The sequence below is a fragment of the Homo sapiens genome, chromosome 9 (assembly GCF_000001405.40).
Source record: "Homo sapiens chromosome 9, GRCh38.p14 Primary Assembly".
Lineage (NCBI taxonomy): Eukaryota > Metazoa > Chordata > Mammalia > Primates > Hominidae > Homo > Homo sapiens.
Window position 1 is genome coordinate 36,250,039 of NC_000009.12, and position 8,481 is coordinate 36,258,519.

Consider the following 8,481-nt stretch of genomic DNA (forward strand, 5'->3'; position numbering starts at 1 on the left):
AAATTACTTGCCATAACTCACAGATGAGCCCAACATAGTAGGTTGTTGCAAAATCAGTTGTTGAGAACCACTGATCTAGTTCAACTCCATCACTTTATAGAAAGGGAAACACAGGTCTTGAGAGGGAAAATTACTGCCCCAACATTCCAGATCATGTCTCATAAGGAACACAGGCTATTCACTCTCACACTATACACTTCCTAAATACAAGGTATTGTGATTAATGCTGGGCAGGAGAAAGATGAGTAAGATAAAAACCTGACCTTCAAGCCCTCATTAGTACCTACACACCAGTGCCAACAAAACTGACAACTCCAAATGCCTATCAGATATCTCCTGCTGTATGTCCTATAAACACCTTAAAGTCAGTGTCCCAAACTGAACTCATTTTCTTTTCGGAAGCTGTTCCTCCTCAATTGTTCTCTGAGTTATGCAATTTCATTCATCCAAATGCCTTCAAATCCTTGTCTTTTCTGTTCTTCACCCCATATCTCCAAAATGCTGTCAATTCCACCCCCTAAATATCTTTCAAATCTATCTCCTCCTCTTCATCCATACAAGGACTTCCCCTAGTCCAGTCCCTCATTTTAGGTCTGGACGATCTTAACAGCTGTCAAGTGGTTTGCCTGTCTCCTATAAACTTTCTTACTTATTTATTTAGAGACAAAGTCTCACTCTGTCGCCCAGGTTGGAGTGCAGTGGCACGAGCTTGGCTCACTACTACCTCCGCCTCCCAGATTCAAGCAATTCTCCTGCCTCAGCCTCCCGAGTAGCTGGGATTATAGGTGCCCACCACCATGCCCAGCTAATTTTTGTATTTTTAGTAGAGATGGGGTTTTGCCATGTTGGCCAGGCTGGTCTTGAACTCCTGGCCTCAAGTGATCCACCCACCTCGGCCTCCCAAAGTGCTGGGATTACAGGCAAGAGCCATTGCGCCCGGCCTCCTACAAACTTTCAAAGTGATCTTCCTTTCCACCATCTCTTCCCTGCCTAAAATTACCCTTCTCTGTGCCAAAGTGCCAGCCATACCAAACTGCCTCCAGTTCAACTAGTGAATCTCCGTATATCTATACCTTTATAGATGCCACCTACTTTTTCCTAAAACTTCCTTTCCTCCTTGCTGGTCTTCTACTCATCCTTCAAAACTCCATCTAAGTGTCATCCTTTCTGGAAAGGCTTCACACAAACCTCAGGTCCTCCTCCCCCACGTTTCTCAGTTGCTGCCTCGCTCTGAGCGTTATGGCCCTCCCATTCACAGATATACTGTTGCTCAGCTCCACTGCTCGCTCATCCCTCCCTGCCATGCTATACCCTCCATTCAAAAAGTAAAATCAGGGGCAAGGAATAAGAGATTTGTTTTATGGAATTTTTTAAAAAGTTTTTACATTTTTGGAGATGGGATCTTGCTATGTTGCCCAAGCTAGAGTGCAGTAGCTATTCACAAGCACGATCATAGCTCATTGCAGCCTGGAACTCCTGGGCTCAAGCAACCCCCCCACCTCAGCCTCCTAAGTAGCTGGAACTACAGGCATACACCACTGAGCCAGACTTGGAACATGTTAAACTTCTCTAAATCAACATAAAATTTCACCTCATGGACTCTGATCTCAATGTTCATGTTTCAGTAAGTGTATCAATATTTAGAACTTGTAATCAGGAATCCAGAGACACTTCAGTAAGGATTCCAATTCTAGGGGTGCCATCCTTTAGATGAGGGTAAACTCTGAAATTCACTGGAAATTCCATCAGTAGCCCTCTGCTGTTGGTACCTCAACACTCTCTTAGGCTAAAATTCTGTGACCATGCAAACGGTCCCATCATTAGGTCCACTCTGAATTTATAATCCCCAGTAAAAGCTAATTTCACCCAATGGCAAACACTTACAATATAACGAAACGGGCATTCCACCAAGAGAGTTATATTCAGAAGACCCAAGCACTATCTGATCTTTTTTTTTTTTTTTTTGAGACAGAGTCTTGCTCTGCCACCCAGGCTGGAGTGCAGTGGTGCAATCTCGGCTCACTGCGACCTCCGCCTCCTGGGTTCAAGCAATTCTCCTGCCTCAGCCTCCCGAGTAGCTGGGATTACATGCATGTGCCACCATGCTGGGCTAATTTTTTCTATTTTTAGTAGACATGGGGTTTCACCATGCTAGCCAGACTGGTCTCGAACTCCTGACCTCATGATCCACCCGCCTCGGCCTCCCAAAGTGCTGGGATTACAGGCATGAGCCACCGCACGTGGCCGCACTATCTAATCTTTAAAGAGACAAAAATATTCTTCCAAAAATGGTTGTCGTAAGTGTTCTTGTATATAATCCTTCTTCCAGTGATCAAATTTGAGCTGAAAAAATTGTTGGTAATATTTAATTTGCTGAGGCAAAACAAATCATTCATGGTTTGTCAATTTGTATTTATTTTACAAAGAACAGTAAATGTTCCATCTGGCAGTACTAAAATGCTTATTTACCAGGTTACTCAAAGGTTATTCTACCTAAACTGAGAGCAAGCTGGCCATATAAATAAATGGTGAAAAATACAACAATGTTACCTAGAAACCTAAAAAACCTTAAAAAGTCAAAGCTTTTTCAAGGAAAGAAGTTAAATCTTAAAAATAAAATTAAGGTAAAATGCCTTTTTAAGGGGAGGTTTTAAAAAATAATTTTAATTAACTAAATTTTTGATCAGGTAGTATATTCACATGGTTTAAAATTGAAAAGTCACAAGAGGTTAAGTAGCAATAAGTCTTTTCATCTGTGTTCCCCAGCTAGCTAGTTCTTTTCCCTGGAAGCAGTTACTGGTTTCCTATCTGTCCTTCCATGGATAAACTATGATAATATAAATAAATATATGGCTCACGCCTGTAATCCCAACACTTTGGGAGGCCGAGCTGGGTGGATCACGAGAGGTCAGGAATTCAAGAACAGCCTGGCCAACATGGTGAAACCCCATCTCTACTAAACATACAAAAAAAATTAGCCAGGTGTTGTGGCACACACCTATAGTCCCAGCTACTTGGGAGGCTGAGGCAGGAGAATCACTTGAACACATGAGGCGGAGCTTGCGGTGAGCCAAGATGGTGCCACTGCACTCCAACCTGGGCAACAGAATAAGTCTCTATCTAAATATATATATATATGATGTGTATATATATGATGTATGTATGTGTATACATACACACATACACAACGTATATTACAAAATTGGTAACATATTCTATAAACTGTTGGGGCAAAGCTTACTTTTTTTTTTTTTTAAAATACAGTCTCCCTCTGTTGCCCAGGCTAGAGTGCAGTGACATGACCTTGGCTCACTGCAACTTCCACCTCCCCAGTTCAAGAGATTCTTGTGCCTCAGCCTCCTGAGTAGCTGGGATTACAGGTGCCCGCCACCACACCCACCAAATTTTTTTGTATTTTTAGCAGAGACGGGGTTTCACCATGTTGTCCAGGCCAGTCTCAAACTCCTGACCTCACATGATCCACCCACCTCGGCCTCCCAACGTGCTAGGATTACAGGCATGAGCCACCGCGCCCAGCCACAAATCTTACTTTTTAAAATGCTTTTAATTATGACTCAAATGGTAGAATGAGAACATTTAAAGATATTGGAAATATCAAATCTAAAAGTGCAAAATTTTGGAAATTGCTGGCCATCAGCTTTTCAAATATACAAAGAGTTATAAGAGCCCTAAAATTTAGCAAAAACATTCAACTTTGGCTGGGCACAGTGGCTCATGCCTGTAATCCCAGCACTTTGGGAGGCTGAGGTGGGCGGATCACCTGAGGTCACGAGTTGGAGACCAGCCTGGCCAACATGGTGAAACCCCATCTCTACTAAAAATACAAAACTTAGCAGGGTGTGGTGGCGTGCACCTGCAATCCCAGCACTGAGGAGGCTGTGGCAGGAGAGTTGCTTGAACCTGGGAGGCGGAGGTTGCAGTGAGCCGAGATTACACCATTGCATTCCAGCCTGGGAGACTGATCGAGACTCCATTTCAAAAAAAGAAAAAGAAAAATTAGCCAGGCATGGTAGCGCGTGCCTGTAATCCCAGCTGCTTGGGAGGCTGAGGCACAAGAATCGCTTGAACCCAGGAGGCAGAGGTTGCAGTGAGCTGAGATCGCACCACTGCACTCCAGCCTGGGCAAAAGAGTGAGACTTTGTCTCAAAATAAATAAATAAATAAATAAATAAAAACAAGAAATCTGGCTGGACATGGTGGCTCATGCCTGTAATCCCAGCACTTTGGGAGGCTGAGGCAAGAAGGACTCCTTGAAGTCAGGAGTTCAAGACCAGCCTGGGCAACATAGCAAGACTCCTGTCTCTACAAACAAATTTTTTTTAATTAGCTGAGTGTGGTTGTGCACACCTGCGGTCCTAGCTATTTGGGAGGCTGAGGCAGGAAGATCACTTTAGCCCAGGAGTTTGAGGCTGTAGTGAGTTATGATCATGCCACCGCACTCCAGCCTGAAAGACTGAGCAAGACCCTATCTTTAAAAAAATTAAAATTTAAATCCAGCCTGGGGCAAGTAAATTTCCTTTTGTAAGGAGGCAATCACTTTTCATCAGTACTTACAATGGACAGTCTTGAGTTGAGAGAATGCAAAAAGCTGCTTTCAAGAATTGAGTTTCGGCCGGGCGCAGTGGCTCACGCCTGTAATCCCAGCACTTTGGGAGGACGAGGCGGGCGGATCACCTGAGGCCAGGAGTTCAAGACCTGCCTGGCTAACATGGCAAAACCCCATCTCTACTAAAAATACAAAAATTAGCCAGGCATGGTGGCAGGCGCCTGTAATCCCAGCTACTGGGGAGGCTGAGGCAGGAGAATCACTTGAACCCGGGAGGCGGAGGTTGCAGTGAGCCGAGATCCTGCCACTGCACTCCAGCCTGGGCAACAAGAGTGAGATTCCATCTCAAAAAAAAATAATTGGGTTTCTCAGATTGCCAGTGAGTTCAAGATGAAGGCAAGCTTGTCTATAAACCTGGCCTTAGGTAACATTGTTCTATTTTTCAGTTTACTCATATGGCCAGCTTGCTCTCAGTTTAGGTAGAATAACCTTTGAGTAACTGGTAAGTACGAGGCATTTTAGTACTGCCAGATGGAACATTTACTGTTCTTTGTAAAATAAATATAAATTGACAAACCATGAATGATTTGTTTTGCCTCACAGTATTTTTCTTTTTTCTTGAGACGGAGTGTCACTCTGTTGCCCAGGCTGGAGTGCAGTGGTGCGACCTCAGCTCACTGTAACCTCCACCTCCCGGGTTCAATCAATTCTCCTGCCTCAGCCTCCCAAGTAGCTGGGATTACAGGCGCACGCCACCATGCCTGGCTAATTTTTGTATTTTTTTAGTTGAGACGCGGTTTCAACTAAACCAGGCTGTTCTCGAACTCTTGACCTCAAGTCATCTGCCTTGGCCTTGCCTCACAAAAATTAAAAATGTAAATTAAAAGCCACAAGAGGCTAAATAGCAAAAAGTCTTCTCATATGTGTTCCCCAGCTATATAATTCTTTTCCCTGAAAGAAACTATAGTACGAATTGGAAAAGGACCACTGCACTCCAGCCTGGGTGACAGAGTGAGACCCTATCTTTAAAAAATTAAAATTTAAATAAAAAAATAAAAACAAGCAATCTTTTAAATGAACATTATGAAGTAGGTGCATTGTCCAGCACAGAGCTCAGAAAGTCAGAAGGTGGGACTGAATACTTGCATCCATTTCACTCTTCAATTCTATAATTGTACCTGAGCCACCAAAAGAAAGACAGAAAAACAAATAATAGGTGACAGATGGATGGATGATAGATGTTAGACAGATAGATGATAGTTTTCGGACAAGTTTGCCTTCATCTTGAACTCACTGGCAATCGCTGAAAAACCCAATTCTTGTTTGTTTTTGTTTTTGAGACAGGGTCTCACTCTGTTGCCCAGGCTGGAGTGCAGTGACATGATCTCAGCTCACTGCAACCTCCACCTCCCAGGTTGAAGCGATTCTCCTGCCTCAGCCTCCCAAGTAGCTGGGATTACAGGCATGTGACACCATGCCCAGCTAATTTTTTTGTATTTTTAGTAGAGGTGGGGTTTCACCATGTTGGCCAGGCTGGTCTCGATCTCCTGACCTCAGGTGATCCGCCGCCTGGCCTCCCAAAGTGCTTGGATTACAGGCATGAGCCACCATACCCAGCCAGAGAAACCCAATTCTTTTTTTTTTTTTTTTTTTTTTTTTTTGAGACAGACAGCCTGTCGCCCAGGCTGGAGTGCAGTGGTGCAATCTCGGCTCACTGCAACCTCCGCTTCCTGGGTTCAAGCGATACTCCTATCTCAGCCTCCTGAGTAGCTGGGATCACAGGCGCCTGCCACCACATCGAGCTAATTTTTGTATTTTTAGTAGAGATGAGGTTTCATCATGTTGGCCAGGCTGGTCTTGAACTCCTGACCTCAGGTGATCCGCCTGCATTGGCCTCCCAAAGTGCTGGGATTACAAGCGTGAGCCACCACGCCCGGCAGAAACCCAAATTCTTAAAGACTACTTTCTGCATTCTCTCAACTCAAGACCGTCCATTATAAATGCTGACAAAAGGTGATTAACCCTTTCCAGAAAAATAATGCCCCACTCAACCGTGGAAAGAGTTCTTTGTGAAGAGAATATTTTTAAGGCTATCAAATAAAAATAATGAACACTTGGGTCAAGCAGTCACTGAACAGAGGAAACAACAGTAAACATTTGCTGAGCGCTTCTGAAGTGCCAAACATTGTGCTAATAGGTTTCTTCACATGTATTAACTCATTTCATCCTCACAGCCCTCGTATTAGCCGCGTTTTACAGACAGGAAGCACAGAGAAAATAATTTACTTGCCCCAAATCACTGTTTAATAGTTCATCATTGGCCAGGCGCGGTGGCTGACGCCTGTAACCCCAGCACTTTGGGAAGCCGAGATGGGCGGATCACTTGATGTCTGTTCAAGTCCAGCCTGACCAACATGGTGAAACCCCGTCTCTACTAAAAATACAAAAATTAACCGAGCATGGTGGCAGGCGCCTGTAATCCCAGCTACTTGGGAGGCTGAGGCAGGAGAATTACTTGAACCCAAGTTCATCATTGAGAGAACCGAAAATCAAACCCTTGTCTGAATGACTTCAGCGCTCAGAACACTGTCCCACACCCAGTGTTTGCCTTGTGTCTGTTCATTCCATAAACATCCATGAGTACAAATCTTCCTCGAAAACATGATAAATCGCCCTTTCATCAGTGCAATGAGGATGGGACTCAAAGGAATAAGAAGGAAAGAGCTATATAAAGCTGTCTGAAAGTCAGGGCCCCATTCCGACGCTATAATTCGGTTTGGCTTCAACTGCGGCGCTCCTACAGTTGGGTTAACGAGTTACCTATACTGCGAAACTGTACCCCACCCCTCCTACCAGAGTAGTAAAAAATACGTTCTTGTGTTCTAACAATTTTACAAGCGTAAAACTGGGGGGAGGGGCCGGGCGCGGTGGCTCACGCCTGTAATCCCAGCACTTTGGGAGGCCGAGGTGGGCGGATCACGAGGTCAGGAGATCGAGACCATCCTGGCTAACATGGTGAAACCCCGTCTCTACTAAAAATACAAAAAATTAGCCGGGCGTGGTGGTGGGCGCCTGTAGTCCCAGCTACTCGGGAGGCTGAGGCAGGAGAATGGCGTGAACCTGGGAGGCGGAGCTTGCAGTGAGCCGAGATCGCGCCACTGCACTCCAGCCTGGGCGACAGAGCGAGACTCAGTCTCAAAAAAAAAAAAAAAAAAAAAAAAAAAAAAAAAAATTGGGGTGAGGGCGGGGAATTAACGTTTCTCAAATATACAAGGAAGCCCAGACTCAGAATGTAGACTCAGAGCAGGGAGGGGACCTTTTAGCCCAGCCTTTTCACGCCAGGACAGCTCGCCTGCCAGGCAGTTCTCCACCCTCTCTCGCCCCGCCCCGCTCCTAACGGGACAGTCAGCATCCCCCCTGATTGGACAGCACTGTTCCAGGGGACAAGTCAACCTGGGCCTCCCTCTACATCCCCTCCCCTGCTCATCAGGGCCCACCCCGAGCCACACGGCGGAGCCCTGAATTGGGCCAAAGAGGTGCCCTATGGTGAGGCCTGCAGGACATTGGGCGAGAGCCGGGTCCAGTGTGGGCCTCGGGGCGCGGTGGGGTGGAAAGCGGCCGGGGAGGGGAGGCCTGGGGCAGGAGGCCGGGGGAGGCGGCCCTGGGGGTGGGCAGGATGCTCTCCCGGAGTCCCACGCCGCCGCGCGGCTCTCACCAGACGCCGTCAGAGGCTCCCTCCCACGCCGCCACCGCGCTCCTCGGGCGAGGGACGAACCAAGCGCCACGAAGCAGGCAGAGCGCGAGCCTGCCCCTCGGTTTCCGCGCTCGGGCGCGCGGGTAGACGACTCGTCGCTCGACCTTGTCCCCACTCCTCGCTCGCCCAGCCACGCCCACCCGGAGTGCCGAATCCGCGA

General features: G+C 46.4%; 1 protein-coding gene across 9 annotated transcripts in view, besides 1 other annotated feature; it reads right to left on the reverse strand.

The window, feature by feature from the left end:
• The window catches only part of GNE (glucosamine (UDP-N-acetyl)-2-epimerase/N-acetylmannosamine kinase), a 62,538-nt gene that overhangs the window by 35,598 nt on the left and 18,459 nt on the right, over nucleotides 1-8,481 (reverse strand). For 5 of the 9 annotated variants that reach the window (NM_001190384.3, NM_001374798.1, NM_001374797.1 and 2 more), the window contains exon 1: nucleotides 8,283-8,410. The exons of 3 other annotated variants lie outside the window; for them this stretch is intronic. The gene's annotated coding sequence lies outside the window, so the exon portion shown is untranslated. Of the gene's footprint in view, nucleotides 1-6,857; nucleotides 6,882-8,282; nucleotides 8,411-8,481 lie in introns of those variants that run through there. One more of the 9 variants, XM_017014167.1, reaches the window with a different exon arrangement.
• Nucleotides 8,151-8,310: a silencer, noted in NCBI's record as "silent region_19891". NCBI's record gives its function as "represses an Ori minimal core promoter by ATAC-STARR-seq in GM12878 lymphoblastoid cells {active_cell/tissue: GM12878}" and the evidence as "EXISTENCE:reporter gene assay evidence [ECO:0000049][PMID:35858748]".